We start from the raw sequence: 20,216 nt of genomic DNA on the forward strand, positions 1-20,216 counted from the left end.
TGAAGAAATGTCTATTCAAGTTCTTAGCCCACTTTTTAATCGGGTTAACAGTTTGTTTTGGTGAGGGGTGGCTAATGAGTTATAGGAGTTCTTATTTATTACTTAAAGGACCACTGGTTTACTTTAGCAGTTTCTTTATTTTATTCCTCTGTACTTTATTTCTGTACAAGTAAACTTAAGTCCTTCTGATGAATACCAAAAATAATGAGAAGAGCTATTTTAATAATTGCTGTTGTAGTACTTAAATAGAAGCATGTAGTGCATGGGACAATGTCCATGTACTCAGTACAGTTAGCTACTTGTGAGACTTTTGTATTTAGTTCTGGGTGAGAGAAAGTGAGAATTTACAGGGGATTCAGAAAAGGGTTAAAGGATTGAAAGGAAAGGTCTACTTGTAAGAAATAAAGCCTTATAAAATGTAAAGAAGAGATAACTGGGAAATAGCTTAAGTGATCATTTGAATATATGAAGCCTCAAAATCCATCTGGTAACCCCACTTACCTAAGAGAATAAACTTCCCAACTACTCAGCATGGCCTCATGTCCTTGCAAATCCTGTCCCCTCCCTTTACAGCCTCATTTCTTACCTCTCTCATTTTTTTCATTCTACAGTCCAGTTATAAGTTGCTTACTGTATCTAAAATGTGCCATACTCTTTCATTCTTGTGTCAAGCATTTGCTGTTGTTGCCTTGAAATACCCATCTTCCCTTATTAGTTTCTAGTGAAATAGCACTTCTATAAACACTGTCCTCATGGCTCCTTGCAGTGAAGTTAATTCTCTTTCCTATATCTTTTGCTGTTATTCTCTACCGTAGCATGCATTCATCCCAATATAATTATCTAATTACAAATCTCTTCCTCTCATTCAACTGTGAACTATTTCAAAGTACAAGGACCTTGTATCCCCAGCACCAAGTAGTAGTATTTGGTAAATGTTCATTGAATGAATAAATGAAGGGAATAGTGACAGGCTATTTTTCATATCCTCTGAGTGTCACCTAATAAAAAATTAGCTTAAACATGAAAACTTTGCTATAAGGAGGTTCTTAGTAGGTTTGTAAACAGGAAAAATAAATGTTTCTCTGAAGTTGTTTAAAGCAGAATTGAGCAGAGGAAGTTAGTGTTCCCTTGTCTGAAGTCAGTTACAGATAAGATTACTTTTGCCACTTGGGTACTTAAGCTTATATCATTCTTTCCTTGCTATTCTCGAATCGTACATTATGATACCTTTCTTTGTTGTTATGATGTGTGTATGCCAAATCCTTACACACACCAGCTTTTCCCATATCCTGGGACTCTGATTAGAGTTCAGCTTTCAGTTCTGCCTTGAATCACAACACTACAAAACATTCCCTTCCAAAATGAGTATAGCTTTAGGCTGCTAGCCTGGAAAGCTGTTTCTAAGACACTGAAAACAACTCTCGATATTCTTATTGGGTGGACCCTTACGTACAGACTCCACTTAAGTTATCCTCAGGAAAGATATAAGCTGTAATTTCCCTTAAAGGACAACTCACAAACACAGATACCATAAACCTTTTAATTTTTCTAAATTTTTGGCAGGACTACCATTGCATATTTTAGTGAATACTTGGTAAAACTACTTATTGCCTTTCAAGTCTTTTTTCATGAAAGTCATTTATATGCTTCATTCATACCTTTGTGCCTTTAGAAACTCCTTTAACCTGTTTCATTTGCTCCCTGAAATTATGTCTATGGGAGACAGATTTCATTGCTCTGGGTCTGTATTTTATGTTTCTTTTCTTCCTGTTCCTTTTGTTCTATGAAGATTTTCAAAGGTTGAATTTTACTAATGTAAGTTTTAGGTGTGATATTTGTGTTTTTCATTTTTTTCCACATGTGCTTTAAATGATTTTTTTAAGTACAACTCAGGAGTTTGGTAGCTTCAGCAGTCCACCCAGTATGTAATTCAAAGGAGACGTCTTGATCATGTAATATATAAGCACAGACTTGAAGAAAATGTAATTTTTTCAAGAAAATATTTCTTTTTTTATTATTTTTCTTTATTACTCCATTTCCCCATACACTTTTCATCCAGATATGTACAAATAGAATTTTAAAAAGCTAATCTGGCCTGTAATCCCAGCACTTTGGGAGGCTGAGGCAGGCAGATCACCTGAGGTCAGGACCAGCGTGACCAACATGGTGAAACCCATCTCTGCTAAAAACAGAAAAATTAGTCAGGCATGACAGCACCGCCTATAGTCCCAGCTACTCAGGAGGCTGAGGCAGGAGAATTGCTTGAACTCGGGAGGCGAACGTTGCAATGAGTGGAGATTGCGCCACTACACTCCAGCCTGGGCAACAGAGCAAGACTCTGTCTCAAAAAAATAAAAATAGACTGGGTGTGGTGGCCCACGCCTGTAATCCCAATGCTTTGGGAGGCCAAGGTGAGCAGATAACTTGAGTTCAGGAGTTCGAGACTAGCCTGGCTAACATGGCGAAACCCCATCTCTACCAAAAATACAAAAAATTACCCAGGCACGGTGGCTCACGCCTCTAGTCCCAGCTACTCGGGAGGCTGAGGCACAGGAATCGCTTGAACCCAGGAGGCAGAGGTTGCAGTGAGCCAAGATTGTGCCACTGCACTCTACCCTGGGCAACGGACTCCATCTCAAAAAATAATAAAATAAAAATAAAAAATAAAAGCTAATCTGTTTCAGATGCTTTTGCTAATTATTTTGCATTGGAATATAATTGCTTTTTAAAAAATGCATTTAATAAGCCCACCATTACATTTAATGATACTTATATACTTGTATAGGTATCTGAAAGGGATGTTTGCATTTGATGTGCTTAAGTTTAGAATTCATACACTCTAAGCAAAATAAAGGATGATAGTCCTGCTACCCACAGTCCTTGGAATTTTTGTTAGCATATTAGTGAAGCATTTTGAACATATCAGAAGAATGATGCTATATATGTTTAATTATAACTTTTTTAACAGAATAAAATCTATTTTATAAGTGGAAAATCTAAACAAATCTAAAAAGAGAATCAGGATGAAACTTCAGTCTAATTAGTCTAATCATAATGATCAGTGAATTTATAAATATGTTTGTTTTTGTTTTGTTTAAGCAGTAATTACGTAGCATAAGAGTATGGTTTGCAGATAGTTGTTAGGTATCTGGATGCGTTTTAGAAAGAACTATCAGGAAGTAATTACAATGCTATTATAAAACAGACTTGAAGTTTTTCTCCTAACATTTAATCTGTTAGCATAATGGCCCATCCATTACACTCAACTGGTTTAGGAGCCTTTTCTCACATAACAGGTAGCAGGATGAAACTGCAGGTTAGCAGCAAGTCCTGGAAGGTTTGCAGTATCCATCTTTAAAGACCTGAAGGAACGTTTGAATCCTCTAGAGAAAACAGTATACGTGGGAAAGGATTTTAGTTTGGTCAGCTCTTAGTTAACTGCTAAGACCAGTAACCACACAGTGACTTTTTTTAAGCTCGCCTTTGGAAGTGAATCCAAATGGCTTAAGAGAACTAAGAGAATGCAAGTTGCTCTTTTGCAAATTAAACCTTTGACGGGTATTTTATTGCCATGAAGGGTGAGACATCAACCGCGTACTTTTGATGTTGATTGGAAATTATTGATTTAAATGGCACTAGTCTGTCATGCCGATAATTGTAGCAGATTTAGATAAGATCACTAGATCTTCTCCAAATAATAAAAGAAGCATTTACCATTCAATTGGTAAAAAACACTAAACTTTTTTTGATAATCTCTAATAGTAACCTTTTCCGTAGTTTTCATATATATGTGTTCTAAGTATATATCATCATAAAAATATGTATGAGATTATACTTACATATTTATGAATATTGGCTGTGTTAGTTAAATAGATAGCTTCTTAGGAATCAAAGCTTTAAAATTAAGTTCAAGTTAAAATTTCGTATTTTTCCTAATTACACATATTATCAATTCTACTGTTAGGAAGAAGTACGTTAACTTTACATTTGTAATTTTGTGTGAAAGGACATCAATTATCACTTATTAAAAAATCTAAGACCTTTAATAACATATAGAGTGAGTTTTTAGTTAAAAAATCTAAAACCTTTAATAACATACAGATTTTATTTAGGAATTTTTATTCTCCTATGAGCTGGAATGTCTATGCCCAGGGCACTGAAATGAAAATACATCCTTACTTTTTACTTCAACACAATCACCAAAAGATTTAATGTACAAAATCCATTTCAGACCAGTGAGACACTTTGAGTGTAGAGCTGATCTTTTTATAGTTGCGTTTTAGAGGAGAAGAATGCTGGCGTACTTCTATGTTCAGCATAAATAGCTCTATACAAAGCAGCGGTTTTTATTCCGTATTATTTTAAATAATAGTTTATCTATTATGTCTAAATGTAAGTTGATTTCAAGTCTGCTATCCTAACAATAGTTACTAGACTTCTTAGAAAACATACTGTTAGCTTGCTAGCATATCTTCAAAGTCAAACAAAATACCAGCATTGTTGTGGAGGAAAAAAAAACCTCAAGCATCTTTTCTATTATGTGGCCACGAACCCCTAGCCTCAAAAGTCTTATTTGAGGTTGCCATGAATGCATGAAGCTAGGGCTAGGTGTCTTAGCATCAGAAACACTCCTTTTATGCAAGTAATAATGGCTGTGGACATTTTCCATATGGCTGTTCAGTGCCGTGTTGAACATCCCAGGATGAATATCACCATTACTAAAGCTGTATTTTATATTGCCTATTTTGTTATTGCTCAGCATGCACAAGAGTTTAAATCTTTATTCATTTCATTTTTTAATGTTTCTTTTGTTCTTCTTATCATATTCTGCTTTCCCAAGGATATATGCCTTGAACGAAAAGTCACATGTGCATTACTAATTGTGTGCTATTGTATTTACAGTTCCTATTGGTGGCACTGTGAAGCTACTAATTCCTTTGCTTCACTTGATGTAAAATAATCTGAGTGTCTTTGATAGCAGTGAAACAGTATTAATTGTTTTGTACATTTCTTGGTCACTCTTCTTAGGTGGTCTTCATAATCTATTAGAACTTTCAGCCAGATTTTTGTAATGTCATGCCTCCAGCAGTGATTAAATTGGTAATTAATGAACAGTCCTTGGCAATGTAAACCACATCCCGTTAATTTTCCCTTTCGAGTTTTTAGAAGTTGTCTTCTGTGTCAGAAATCATTGCGCCACCTTGCTATGGCCCCTTGGCATGAAACCACAACGACTTGATTTTTTCAGCCATTAGTAGATCAGAGCAGTAATTTCACAGTATTTTGGTCAAGGTAATTATAATACCACGAACTGAGTAGATTTGAAAATTCACGAAAGAAGTCCAGAAATACCAGGTGAGCTTCCTTGTGTTCACTGGAACGTTATGATTAGTTTAATTGGTCTTTGTTTGATTTTAGCCGCAGAAACTGTTTGTGCCACAGTAGTGCAGTGACTTTATACTTGAGTGTTTCTGACCTTCTTTGACAGGGTGGGTGCAAAAATGAGCCCTTTGAAACAATCCCCTTTCTAAAAGGGGGTTAAACTGCAATTAAAAAATTAACTATAGAAAAGAAAGCCCTCTAATTAATTTCTTAACATCTTACTCTATTTTGTGAAATGTTTAGCAAGTTTATTTTCCTCTCTCTTCATTAAGAAATATGCACGACTATTTTAGTGCTATTTTAAACTATTCTGCCTGTGAGATATTAATGACGTAGAGTTTTGATACTGTATAAGAATCTTACAATGCCTTAATGAGAGTGAAATTGAAATGTGGCTTTCCTTTTTGTCACAAAGTAGATATTCCCATACTTGACTGATTGCTTATATGTGTGTTAGCCCTTGGTCATACATTGTGCACATTAGAATTTAAAGAGTCACTTGCATGTTGCCTTCTGAAAGGATTGTCTTGGTCACCTTTTCTGGAAGCCCTTAATGAAACTAAATAGTTTGCTTGGAGTTTGGACCTAACCATCAGGGTGTTTCATGCAGTCTTGTCAGTTGATGTTCATGAATTGACTTGAACAAAGATCAAAGTGTTTCTCCAAACCAAGAATCTGTGAGACAGCTCCTTCAGTTGTGCCACAAGAGCTAATCAAGCCATCAGTTCTTTATGCACTCTACGTGTCTTTAGAATTTAGTACCAAATGATTTGTCAGTACAAATTGATATTCTGATTTTTTGCTTTTCTCCTTCCTGGCTCTCTTTCCCTATTTCCTCCAAAATGAGGGAAAATACAGTGTCTTTTTACAACTAGATTTTGTTAAGAAGCTTAGATTATAATTTTGAAATGGAATATTTAAAGTTTACAAATACAAACAAGCCAAGAACAAGTTAAAAGTTTTAAATCAGTGATATTCATATACCACAATACTAAATATACAGCCAAGCTTTTCAGTTGAACAAATTAACTTAGAGTCTGATTCTTTTATTTTTCTTGTCACTTCACTGTTTTGATAATAGAACTTTGTCTTGAAGTATTTCAGTTGCATCAGAGTACTGTATTTGTTTTCCATGCTTAGATTAAAAGGAAGTTATCTGAAAATACCTCTTAGAGGGGGGAGTTTTATAATTTGAGGAAAGGGAATAGTTAGATTTTTTCCCCCTATTTCAGAAGCAATTTTTAAAGGATTTAGCCCTATTTAGCCTGAAGGTCTTAGCACTAATGAGAGCACTTAAGTTACATCAAGGCTGTTGATTAGACAGCTCATCTATCAACTGAAGCATGAGAATTTGTGTTTGGGGTACCTTTTATACATTTTAAATGTATATGCATCTCCATTACTTTATACCTTTTCCCGAGTGCTTTAATTGGTCTCTGGCATGACAGTGGTTGCTGTGCAGTAGAAGTGTAACTGAAAGAGAGTTATGTATTATTTGTGTCATTAAAGTTTGTATTTGAAAATCAGTAAATTTTAAATTTCTGCTTTGGCATGAAAATTCAGGCACTTATTTTCATAATATTAAAAATTTAGTGTACATAAAATATTCTTTTATAAGATACATTTGATTCTTTTCTATTTTAATAGGAACTATCATTTCCCAGCATTTTTAAAGGATACAATCTCCTAATTAAATTTAAATGATATAATATCCTAATTAAACAGTTATTATAAAAAGTATAGTGTGCTCCCTAACTTTTGACATTTCAAATTTTTAAAAGAAATTTAAAACATCACCACTAGCCTGCACTAGGAGCAGCCTGTAATAACAGTTTTTAAAAGCTTTCTGAACTATTTGACAAGATTTCTTAGTGCTGAGGCCATATGCTGTAGCCTTTAAGCTATTTCTTCCTATCAGTTTCATTATCACCTGCCTCTGAGTCTCCAATATCATCAGTAAGCACATGCAGAATCATAATTATGCCATGTACAAGTTCTTTGATAACATGTACAGTTTTCTTCTTAATTCTTTATCAAATGCATTGATCGTGGCATGTGTGCATTGATCCAGGTCCGCCATCTGGCTGTGTGTGATAAGCACAGTGGCATCTTTGCATTTCCACTGTCATTCATTGCGCTACAATTTGGCTGCAGGGGAGTAGTGGCTGGGATTAGCCCTGTTCTGCTACTTACTTGCATTTTAAGTTGACACCTCTACAGCGGCTCAGACCACATTACAAACTGAAACACATACGCACGACTTAGTGATGTGACACTTCTCAATAAGCTTACTCCACTAGCTACTCAACAATCTGTAATTGGATTTGTAGGAATAACAGCAAAAGATTTCCTAAGAATTGCTAGGGACAGAAGGTGAAGTTTTCTCATTATTGGCAAAAGGCTAGGTATAGATCCTAGACGATTGGTATTTTCCATTAAAAACAAGCTGCCAACAGTTTGCAGGACATTTTTTTCTTTTTAAAAAGGACATGGAAAAGGATGTGGTTTTCACTTGTGCTTTACATTTTGATCACTTGTATCTTACGGGATTTTTCCAGTAAAATTGAGAGGAGGAAAATCTTTCAAGTACATCTCAGGAATGTGGTTCTCTGTATTGTTTCAGAAATATAAAATGATGAAAAGACAATGTATAGGTATTTTCTTTGTAGGAGAGGAAAAATTCCAAAACATAGTTAACTAAGAATAGAACTTTCCTGAATCTCTAATCTGGCAAGGTAAAGAACACTTCTTCCTATGTTGCATATACATCTGGTCGGCTTGCCAAAAATCTTTGTTTTATAATATTACTTCTTTTTTTTTTCATCTCAAATGTCAAGTTTACGCAGGAGAAAAGCCCTTAAGTGAAGCACTGTGAAACTTAGCTGCTACAGATGAATAAGCTGTTTTGAGCACTCTTTATAGTATAGCTTTTGAGAGATATAGGATACATCGTATTTTGAGCAAAAGTACTGATCGTAATGGATACAGTGTGTTTTCTTTAAACACTAAGGTATTTCTGAGCTCTGCCCACCCCATCACTGTTGTCAAACTGATATTAACTGTCAGCAGTTTTTTTGGGTCTTATTCTGAGTACAATCCAAAGGAGTTCATAAATAAATAGTTTATAAGTAATACTACTAGCATAGAACTATGACTTACATAGAAGTTACAAAGATTAGGAAGATCATTAACACTTTAGAACAAAAGCCAGTGTTGGTGGAGTGTTAAATTCATCATAAAGGGTTCTTTGGGTGGCTTTATTAAGAGACAACTTGTAGAATCATGTATACCAAATACCAATAGAGTATGTCATTTCAGTACCTGAACAGGAAACGAAGTAAGAAGTTACATAAGCACATATATATCTGTATATACACATACAGAGAGAGACAAGAGAGAAGATGAACTTGGATTCTTAGAGGTTTTTCTAGTGAAAAATATCACAATATAAAACAGTAATTTTTTTTAATATGATACATAGATGTCATACTTTTGAAGGGTTAAGTCTTATTTATCTGAATGGAACTGCAGGACAGTTTTGCAGAACACTTTAACACAAATACCTATGGTTTACTTTGACGTTACATTTTTTTGTTGTTGGTTTCTTTACTTTAAATACTTGAACTGTTAGACCTTCTACTTTTTTGCTGAGAAAGATGTATTTGTACCAGATTAGAAAAGCTAAACTGTTTCTTTACATTGAATAATCAGCCTGTCATGACAAATCTATCTCCTTCTGCATGAGTAGGTGCCAGTCTGACTGGCTTCTTTTAGGCTCACACTGGGTTTTAAGCTAGATCCATGTGCATGACTGGCAGTGCATTTGTTGGGCCAGATCTAAGGAGCCAGAGAGCGTTCAGCTCCTTTTTGCCTACAAAAGAGCAGCCAGACAACCAGCAAGAGGCCTTGGATGTAACACAAGGTGATACTTACTTAGTCAGCCATTCTTCTTTTATTCTTATAATTTTTTTAAACTAAGAAGTTATCAATTTCACAAAGAAAAGAGGAATTAAATTATCAAAGGGTCCTTTTTTTGGAGGCTCAAACTATTTCTGTTAGTTCTACTAATGCAAATTGAAGTTTTCAGAAACACAAAATAATTGCTTTTATAATCTTAAAATAATTATTTTTGGAGAAATATAGTACCTACTAGGAATTCATATGTATTAAGTAAATGAATGAAAGAAAATGATTATTTATTTAGAATATAAAACTTTCTATCCCAGAATGCTTAAAGGAAAGCCTCATTTAGCAACATTAACTTGATCTCATGTATTCTTTTGTTTAGGATTCTTTATTTGTATAGCATGGTATAACACTGCAAAACAAATGCTACAATTAAAAAGAATACTTGCTGTATCTTGAAACAAAGAGATATATTTTAAAAACTAGAGTATGATATATTCATTTTCATGAATTAAATACGTTAGATGAAATCTAAATTCTTAAAATGTGTCTATTTTTTCTGAATTAGTCCTTTTATATTTTCTACTCATATATTAAAAACTATCTCAAATTTAAGTTCATATTCTGTTTACTATTTTTCCTATGTATCTTAAACAAATCCAAAATTTAGTAGTTACCACAAAAATAAATGTAATCCCCAGGGTTGATCAAAGATTTAATCTGACCAGATGGGGCAAACTTGAGAAAGATTTTGACTTTCCACTCTGTTTTGCAACAAGAAAGGCTGATTTTTTTCTTTCTTTCTTTCTTTGTTAGAGAAGCAGAGATCAGGCCATCCCCAGAGAAATGAGCAGGTGTGGCCATTTATAAGCATGTCTGCTTATATTACAAACCAGCATAAGAAAAGTTTGAAATGGGTTGAAAAGATCTGCTAAACAGTTTTAATGTTTCACCCTAAATCCTATTTATTCAGTCAGGAGCTGATCAAGCTGGCAGTAAAATATCTAGTCTACCTAAACCTTCTAAAATCTTGTAATTTTATTTTTTATTTAATTCTATCTTTCATAGTAAGTGAGTGGGCACACTTTGGTAATCCTTGCCTCTGGACAAACACAGAATTCTTTTTTTTTTTTTTTCGGTCCATTCTGAATGCCTAATAACAGAGTCTTGCTCCCTGTCTAATGATGAAAGGGTGACAGTCAAGTTCTTTCAGTTTACTACAAAATTGAGGAATTTCATGGACCATTTTGAGAACAGAACACTGTTAAATATTAGCAGCTCTAAGTAAAACTTTTTTTAAAAAAATTTAGATAGGTTAAAATTTATTTAGCTCAATTAATTAAAGTTCAATTACTAAGGCTGTATGAAACACCGAAGACAAAACAAATAAGCACAGGATGTTCTTGAGGGAGGTAAAAGATGAAATGTGGGTTTTTTTTGGTAGAAACAGAGTGCTTTTTTATGTTATAAACACAATTTTACGAAGAGTATGGATACAAACTACATTGTTTGAAATAATATGTTTTTAAAGTTTTGTTAAGGCTTATTTCATGAAAATGTGTGTAGACATGTTTCTTAATGATCTCAGCAGCTACACTGACAGTTTCTCATGTTCTAATTCACCTTCACAAATCCATGGCATCATTTTTTGGCTAAAGTAATGTCAGTTGGTGACATTTGCGGCAAGTGTAAAAAGGACCCCCCATGGCAGCCATTTTTATTTGATTCTTAAGATCCAAAGGCTGCTGAAAGAACAATTGAATAAAGTTGGGGATTGGAGAAGCTTGATTTTCTTGTTCTCTGTGAAATGAAACTCCAGCCTTTTTCTTCCCCTTCCCCTCAAAAGCAAAAGTCTGCTAGGGGGTTGTAGCTGTGTCAAAGCCGCTGGGATGCCACTGCTGATCACTTTAATTACTACGACTAAGGAGGATAAAATTAAAAGTAGCACCATTGAAGCAGTGGAAGAAAGCTTGCCTAGATGTCGGTGAACTGTGAAATATAAAAATTGCATACCAATACATTTTTATGGAAAGGAAACAAGGAATTACATTACTTATTCTTGAAGAGTTTGTCCTTAAATTGTCAAGTTTTACTAGTGCATCTATCTATGGCAGATTGTAGACCATTTCAGAATGATAAGGAAAATAGTAACTTGAAGACATGCTGTGAAAGGGCTAAATATTATTTAAGTTTGTGTCCAAAGTGGTTAGTTCTGATCCATCTTTATTTGAATATTTCAAATCCATTGGATTGAAACAGGGCTCTTTTTGCACCATAACAGGACTTTTGCCTTATCCTGAAGATGTTAGCAAAGAGAAAAGCAAAGCTTAAATACATTTATCACTTTTCTAAAGGCTTATAATTTAAGGTTGGGAACGTAAGTTTTAAGTGAATGTAAACAAATTAGTTGCTGGGAACGTAAGTTTTAAGTGAATGTAAACAAATTAGTTGCTCATCATCTCTCTGTATTCATTGACACAAAGGGAAATGTAAACTGATTTGTATAGCCCAAGTATACATAAAGAACTGGGACTTTAAAAAATCGTAATCACTGTAGGGCCTCAGAAAATGCTCTGAATAGCAGTTATGTAATAGATAGGGCCAGTGCTTTGATATCAAACAGACACTGATTTTAATTCTTACTATGCCATTTACAAGATATATGACCTTGGGCGGTATATTTAAGTGAGATTCAGTTTTTGTCAAATTGGAATGATAGCAGCTATCTCAGAGTTGTAAGGAGTAAATGAGACAACACATATACATGTGTGAGCACACAGGGCACAGAACTAGTATTTACTCAAAAATTTGTTACAAATTGTAAAAAGATAGTCATAGGGAGGGAGACCTCCCAAAACTACGGCTTCTATGAAACCCTCCAAAGAGTACACATCTATCTTACAAAAGCAAGACTATCCTTTATAACTCAGTCTAACTCTAAATAATACCATATAGGAAAAGGTGAATGTCATCAGACCCTTTCTCAGAAACAGGAAGTCTAACTACTTCAATTTATTTAAGTCTATCTAGACTACATAAGTAAATGAAAGACATAGGGGTTTCCTATGTATTGGATTTTTGAAGTATACTTATCTTTTAAGTAACAGCAGTTTTCTAAGTTGCCTTACCTCTGCAACCCAGTGAAAAGATTTTTTTTCCCAGCACACATGGTAAACATGATTTACTTACAGCTATGAGCCACTGTCTTTTTTTGAAAGAGGAATGGTCAAAGCAGATACCAAAACCACATTTCTTAGGTTTAGGCAAACTCATTGTCAGAAATATTATGAACGTATTTGAGCAGTTTGTGCTGAACGCTATACAGAAATAATAAGATAATCATTGTCCCTACTCTCTAGTCATTTTATCCTTAGACATAAACAGTGTGGCTATTTTGAGTAAAAAAGAAAAAATGCATAGATTTTATTGCTATCTATTCTTTCAATATTATTGCAAAAAAGTCTTTTAATGGAGCCTACATATAAAAATTAAAATGAACTAGTTTTACTTATGATGAACCTGGAGACTAATAAACTGAAAATTAGTGCTATCAAACTAAAATTGATGGCATAATCAATTACTATAATTACAAGCTTTTCCTTCATGACCTTAACAATTAACTTTTATTTTCTCAGTTGGTTTTTTGTCTTAAGGGAAGTTAAAGGGTGAGAAAACAAACAACACAGATATGCCATCCCACTGGAGAGCTTCAGGCCCAAGCAAAATTGTCTCTGTGGTGTTAGGACATTAGTAGAAAAGTAAATTAAGGCAATCTGATAGGGAACTAGAATTCTGTCAATCAGGCTCAAGATTTTGTGCTGTGTCCATAAACTTTGTTTACTGTAGGGTTTTATGAGTTGTAACCTGCCCTTGCAGTCTGTTAATGAGGCTAAATCTTGCTACTTGAGAATTGAATTACAGCACACCTCTGGGCTAATGGTTATAAACAGAAAGTCCCATTAGGGCTACATTCTGATTTGTTCATTTGCATTTTTTTCTATTGTGTAGAGAACAATGATGAGTAAATAAGTACAAACAAACAATTTACATGGAAATTGATAAAGTTCCTAATTAGTATTTAGAGTTGGTTTTATTAAGGATTGACTACTTTAAATTGCACTCTTGGTAAGCTCTCAGAAAAATTTGCAGATGGGAGTATTATGGGGGGTAGAGGAGGTGATAGCTTGCAAGAAAAAAATTAGGTTGCCATTTCATATTCAGAAAACTAGAATCATTTATTTCATCTTAACTCAGTAAAAATGACCCTTCATTTTAGTTTGAATCACCAAATTCCAGCTATGTAAGAAGTTATTATTCACTCAGTGAAATACACTTAAACTTAGTTGCCTGAGGCATATTAAATAATGGTTTTTGTTAGTACTCTTAACTTTTCTTAAGTTTGGAAGATGAAAGTTTAGTAAAAGTTCCATTTTCCTCATTTGATCATATAATTTGATACTTTGGGAATCATATAGTTTAGTGGTTAAGAGCAAGGGCTCTGGAGTGAAACAGACCTGAGCTGAACACCTGGCTCTGACATCAGGTCTAGCTGTGGAATGTTGTGACTCTAAACTTAAGTATTCTTACTGGTAAAAATAAAGATGTGAAAATTAAATATTATGCACATAAAGCACATAGCACATAAATGCTCAGGAGATAGCAGCAGCCATCATCAAACTCACCATTATCAATCCTGTAATTTCTTTTATTCCTAGCATATTTTTTAAGTTTAGAAACACTGATAGTGGTCCAGATGTGGTGGCTCATGCCTGTAATCCCTACACTTTGGGAGGCCAAGGTGCGTGGATCACTGGAGCCCATGAGTTTGAGACCAGCCTGGGCAACATGACGAAACCCCATCTCTCCAAAATTACAAAAATTAGCCAGGCATGGTGGCACACACCTGTGGTCCCAGCTACTCGGGGTGGTGGCAGGGCTGAGGTAGGAGAATCACCTGAGCCTGGGGAGGTCACGGTTGCGGTTAGCTATGATTGCACCATTGCACTCCAGCCCAGGTAACAGAGTGAGATCCTGTCTCAGATTTAAAAAAGAAAAAAAGAAATACTGATAGTAAACAGGATTTTTTTATGATTTTCTTGCATCTTCACTCTCACTATGCCTATTGCATACTATTCCTCACCTATGAATAAGCTTGTGTCTCCAGATACTAATAAAATTTCACTTGAATGTTAGACCTCTCTTCTTTTGCCCCTACCACAATATACACTTCAGGAAGCATACCATCACATTGCTTTGCTTTTTTGAGGCAGGGTCTTGCTATGTAGCCCAGTTGCTCAGGCTGGTCTTGAACTCCTGGACCCAAGCAGTCCTCCTGAGTAGCAGGGATTATAGGTATGTGCCATCATGACTAGTCGAGATTGTTTTTTAAAATAATGTTGATTATAAGAGTAGTACATGTGTATTATAGAAAATTAGAAAATGAGTCAAAAGAAAATAAAAATATCAAATTTTGATACCCAGAAATCTTCACCATGACAACTTTGCGTATACCCTTCCAAATCTCTTTCTATGCATATGTTTTCTTAACTCTGACTTATTAAAATTACCAGGTCAGTTGTCTAGGATATCCTACCTTCTGGATCTATTTTGTTGTTTTCTTGCTGTGTCATTTGTCATGCTTCTCTATCCCCTGTGCTTATGATAAACAGGAAATTATATCTAAAGGTTGAGTGGATTCACTTTAAATATTTTTGGTAGAATATTATAGGTGGTGTGCAGTTCATGTGCTTCATATCAAAAAACATATAGCGTATGATTGACCCAACATTAATGCTGCTAGATTCGTGGTCCCTAATCTCTGATCTAGTTCTTATCTCTCTTTTTACAAATAAGGTTTTCCCCTTGCAACTAAAAGTAGTCTGTGTGGTGTTACTTAAGCATATGTTCCAGTTATTATTGCTGTGTAAGAGGCCACCCCAAACTTAGTGACGTAAAAAAAAAATGTCTTGCTATTATGCTCTACAAATTCTGTAGGTCAGGAGTTCAGACAGGGCACAGTGGGCATGCTTTGTCTCTGTTCCACATTGTCTGAGACATCAGCTAGGAAGACTTTTAACAGTTGGGGGTGGCTCAAAATGGCGAGAGTCTGAGGTCATCTAAAGCCTTCTTCATTCACATGTCTTGGAACCTATGCCAGAATGACTGAAGGCTGAATTTGGCTAGAATGGTCAACTGAAGCACCTACATGTAACTTAGTCCTCTCGCTATATGACTGCTGGGTTCCCAGAAAGAGGACAGAATATAAGAATTTCAAGACAGCTTAGGCAGAAAGGGTATGGCCTTTTCTGACCTAGCCTTGGAAATCACCTGCAACACTTCTGCATTCTATTTCTTACATACAAGTCACTAAAGCTGGCTCAGAAGAATTAAACTCTTCCTCTTATTGAGGGAATGGCAAGGTCACATTGCAGAAGAGCATGTGGGATGAGCGATAACTGTTGTGGCCATCTTTGGAAAATACAGTTGGCTGCAGCATGACTATCTGGTTCCCCATCGGACATTTACCTAAGAGCTTTAATTACAGTTGATGATCCTTGCCAGAATCATTCATTATGATTTGCAAAGTGATTTTTTTTATAATTCTACCTTTTAGGGGCATTATTAAATGATATTTTATAAAGTAGAGCTAGGCCAGGCATGGTGGCTCAAACCTGTAATCCCAGTGGGAGGATGACTTGAGCCTAGGAGTTTGAGACCAACATGGGCAACACAGGGAGACCCTGTCTCTACAAAAATTAAAAAGAAAAAAAAATTTTTTTTAAACTACAGCTACCATGCCTGTAGTTCCAGCTACTCAGGAGGCTGAGGTGGGAGGATCGCTTGAGCCTGGGAGGTCAAGGCTGCGGTGAGCTGTGATTGCACCACTGCATTTCAGCCTGGATGGGTTTACTGTATGTACACACACACACACACACACACACACACACACACACACACACACACACATATATAGTAGAGCTTTCTGTTATTGACTGAGAATATTTTGTTACTCCAAAATTCATTTCCCACTGGAAATACAAAATAATTCTTTTCCTTTAATTACTACTTTTTAGGAGTTATTTCAAAAGCTGCCTTAAATGGTAACAAATGAGTTTTATATCCTTCTATGTTTTGAATATCATATTGGACTCGAATTTTCCTTGATTCAGTGTGTGACCTCACTGATTCAATTCATTGCAGTCATTTTTGTTTTTGAAAGTGAAATTGTCTCTCTACTGGGTTCTTCTAATTGGTTCTCTACTGGGAGCTTCAAGCTCGTCCCTGGCTCCATTGGACATCCACATTAACCTACCCCCATTAATTTTGATGGCTTACTTGATTTCTCAAGAAATTTGTGAAAAAAAAATTGCCTGGGCTTGAGTTCTACCCATTGGTTTCTACCCTTGTCCCTAATGATATGTCACCAAGTTTTGTTTTGTTTTTTAAGGCAACAGACTATTTAATGTGGTTTAAAATACATCAATGTCTCACCAAGTTTCATTGCCCTTTTAAAATTTTCAGACTCATTAACCTCTAACTTGGCTGCAATTGATACTCCTTTTTCTTGAAAGCCTCTTCTACTTTGATTTTCTGGATACTTCAGTGTTCTAATTTTCTCCTTTCTGTGTCCTCTTTTCCTCTTATGTACGTATAGATAGATGTTTTACATGTTTTAGTCAGTGTCCCTCCTTTTTCTCTAGGGTACCTCTTCAAATGCTTTCATGGATTCCTATAACTCATCAGCTCTCTAGTCATAGTCTGACCTCACATCCTAGTATCCATTTTATTTCTCAACTACCTACTAACATCTACTCAGATGTCCTGCCAGCTTCTCAAACCCAGTATGTCTTAGCACAGACTTTCTCTCCCTCCCTTCTTATAGTTCCTTTTAGTTTTTCTATTTCTATTATGAGCATCACAGTTCTACTAGTGGCCTAAGTTTAAAATTTCTGAGTTTTTTTTCCCTCCCTCTGCATCTATTATGTTACCAAGAATTGGTGCCTCTAATTCTAATATATTACAGTTTTCTCTTTCTATTCCCATTGCCACTGTCTTAGTTTTGTATCTCACTACAGTTTCCTTGGACTCTTATAAGAGCCTCCTAAGTAGTCCATTGCCATCCTTCTATGTCAGTCTATTTTATGCACCATTGCCTGATTAATCTTTCTCAAATACACCTCTAATTGATGATTCCCCTAGACTTAAAAAAAAAAAAAGACATATGCATAAAAACAAAGCCCGGCAGTGGTCCTGCTGTCTTTAGAATAAAATTAAAGCACCTCTCCCTGTTGGACAGGGCCTTTAAAGTATCTCCTCAAATTTATTTTTCTTGCCTTGTCTGTCACTGTTTTTGCCCTATGTTCAGGAAAACTAGGTTATATTTCCCCGTATACTTTCTTGTCTCTATGTTTTTGTACTGTTCCTACCTCCTTGTCTCTCTTGCACTGACCTACCTAACCACCAACTTCGATCTCTACCCATTCCAAATCCTACTCATTCTTCAGACCCAACTTGAAATCCATGATGGTATGATACATTCTGTTTGCCCCTCAGCCAAAAATGTTCTCTTTTTTCTGAACCCTTATGTTATTTTGATCATACTGCCTTAACATTGTTACTTTCTCTTTCTCTATATAAGTTTTTTGAGAGTATAAATAGTATATAGTATATTCTCCTGCTTGAAATGGTTACAGCACCTAGCACAAATTATGTGCTAAAGACCAGAGATACAAAGGTAAATCAGCTATAGTTCAACTCTAATGTGAAGGAGGCATCCCTACAAAGTTATAATGTAAATTGACAAGTATTGTTTAAAAAAATAACATATACACGTAGACACACATGAAGTACTGAAGTAACATAGAGGAAGGATTACTTTATTTCATAGGGAAATGGTTGGGGGGATAGTCAGGGGAGGTTTGGTGGATTTAAACTGAATCTGGAAGAATGAGTAGAAATTAAATAAGGTGAGAGAAGCTCATTCCAAGAAAAAGAAATGACACACTCAGAGCCACAAGTACATGAAGCTACATGATACAAACAATTCTGTATGAATAGATGTGAAGATTTATGGAGGTTCGGAGATGTTAAGGGGAGATAACCCTGCAAAGATATGTTGGGGCCAGATTATTTCAGTCTTTGTTTTATCATAATAATGCCATATTTTATATGCTTTTCAATTTACAAAGCAGTTTCACATTGATTATTTGCGATTCATAATATTAATAATCCTTTTTTTTTTTTTTTTGTGAGACAGAGTGTTGCTCTGTCGCCAGGCTGGAGTGCAGTGGCGTGATCTCAGCTCACTGCAACCTCCGCCTCCTGGGTTCAAGTGATTCTCCTGCCTCAGCTTCCCGAGTAGCTGGGACTACAGGCACGTGCCACCATGCCCAGCTAATTCTTTTGCATTTTTAGTAGAGACGAGGTTTCACCATGTTGGCCAGGATGGTCTCAATCTCTTGACCTTGTGATCCATCCGCTTTGGCCTCCCAAAGTGCTGGGATTACAGGTGTGAGCCACCGTGCCCAGCCAATAATCCTTTTTTTAGTAGTCAACAACTCTCTTATTTGTCTTGTTATTTTAAATACCAGAAACCACATTAGATTTTAATTTTTCTTCTCAGTATACATTTGGGGAGAGGGGGAGTTACCAAAAAGAATTTCACATCACTATGGGATTATTCTTGTTGATAGTTTTTAAATCAAATTATGTACTGATAAACTATCCCTACTCTTACTCTAGCCCCCTAAATATGCCATTTCCTATATAGTATTTGATCAGCATAGTATACCAGCATTTTCTGCTATCAAAGACGTCTTTTAGCCACTGCTCTGTGCCTTTATTCAAAAATAGCAAGTTAAATTATATTCTTAAAAAACATGAATTAAAATTCTGTTCAGTATTGTGACTTTTTTCTGTAAGCTGGATTCTTTTATTAATAATAATTTCTGATATTTTCTCAGTAATATGTATTACCAAACATTCTTTAACTTGTATTTTTAATGGACATTTTAATACAATAATTTGTAAATGTTTTTAAAAATCTGATTCTAAGATGTCTTTTAAAAATGGTGTGACATCCAACTGATATAGAGCATCCTATTTATAATGTGGGCCAAGCACCATGCTGTAAACCAGTTACTATCATGATGATCAGATTGAAAATGAAATTGCATTTCTGTCAATTACTGAGTTGGCAACTGTTCAATATATCTTAGCAGCAAGATGAAGAGCGACGTCGGCAGCTGAGAGAGAGAGCTCGTCAGCTAATAGCAGAAGCTCGATCTGGAGTGAAGATGTCAGAACTTCCCAGCTATGGTGAAATGGCTGCAGAAAAGTTGAAAGAAAGGTCAAAGGCATCTGGAGGTGAGTTAAAGAATCTTCTATCATTCTACAGACAACCCAGAAATCCACAGTGGACCTTTTGGGACTTTTTATTCTTACTTCAAAATGTTGCTTCAAAAATATAAAGCTTCTAACCTATTGATATGTTGCAAAACACCTAAAGGAAGCATAGTAAATTAGAAGATAACTGTTGCTGCTTTCCACATCAACTTTTTGGCTTCATTTAAAAATACTCAAGAAGTACTCTCTTAGAATATGCTTTTGTAAAAAACTCATACCTTGGTTTGTGATACCCCATGATTCCTCATTAATAGTATTAGGAGTATGTAAAATGTAATTGAATCCCTAACATCTAAATCAGCACAATTAGTGATGAGCTTTGTCATGAAAGATTTTCACTTAAAACAAGATCTTTAGAAAGTAACTTTAACAATATTCTGGCATTATAGCCTGAGATGTGAGAAGTTTATATAAGTCCCATCTCAGTTTCTTCTTAGTCTCCTCACTCTGAGAGGGTCTTCTTCAATATCTGCAGAGATTAATCTAAGCTTGATGTTGGGACAAGGGCTATATATATATAAAAT

The 20,216-nt window shown here is 35.3% G+C and overlaps 1 protein-coding gene across 52 annotated transcripts in view, besides 1 other annotated feature; it reads left to right on the plus strand.

Moving 5' to 3' along the window:
* EHBP1 (EH domain binding protein 1) overlaps positions 1–20,216 on the plus strand; it is a 372,610-nt gene that overhangs the window by 285,805 nt on the left and 66,589 nt on the right. For 35 of the 52 annotated variants that reach the window (XM_047443744.1, NM_001142615.3, XM_011532718.4 and 32 more), the window contains one exon: positions 19,506–19,653. In XM_047443744.1, coding sequence (XP_047299700.1) covers positions 19,506–19,653 — 148 coding nt within the window. The remainder of the gene's footprint in view (positions 1–19,505; positions 19,654–20,216) is intronic. The other 17 variants (NM_001354215.1, XM_047443751.1, XM_047443758.1 and 14 more) reach the window with 1 other exon arrangement.
* Positions 7,038–8,112: an enhancer, noted in NCBI's record as "VISTA enhancer hs690". NCBI's record gives its function as "enhancer in: midbrain (mesencephalon)[7/11]" and the evidence as "EXISTENCE:transgenic organism evidence [ECO:0001131][PMID:17130149]".

Source organism: Homo sapiens, chromosome 2, assembly GCF_000001405.40.
Source record: "Homo sapiens chromosome 2, GRCh38.p14 Primary Assembly".
NCBI lineage: Eukaryota > Metazoa > Chordata > Mammalia > Primates > Hominidae > Homo > Homo sapiens.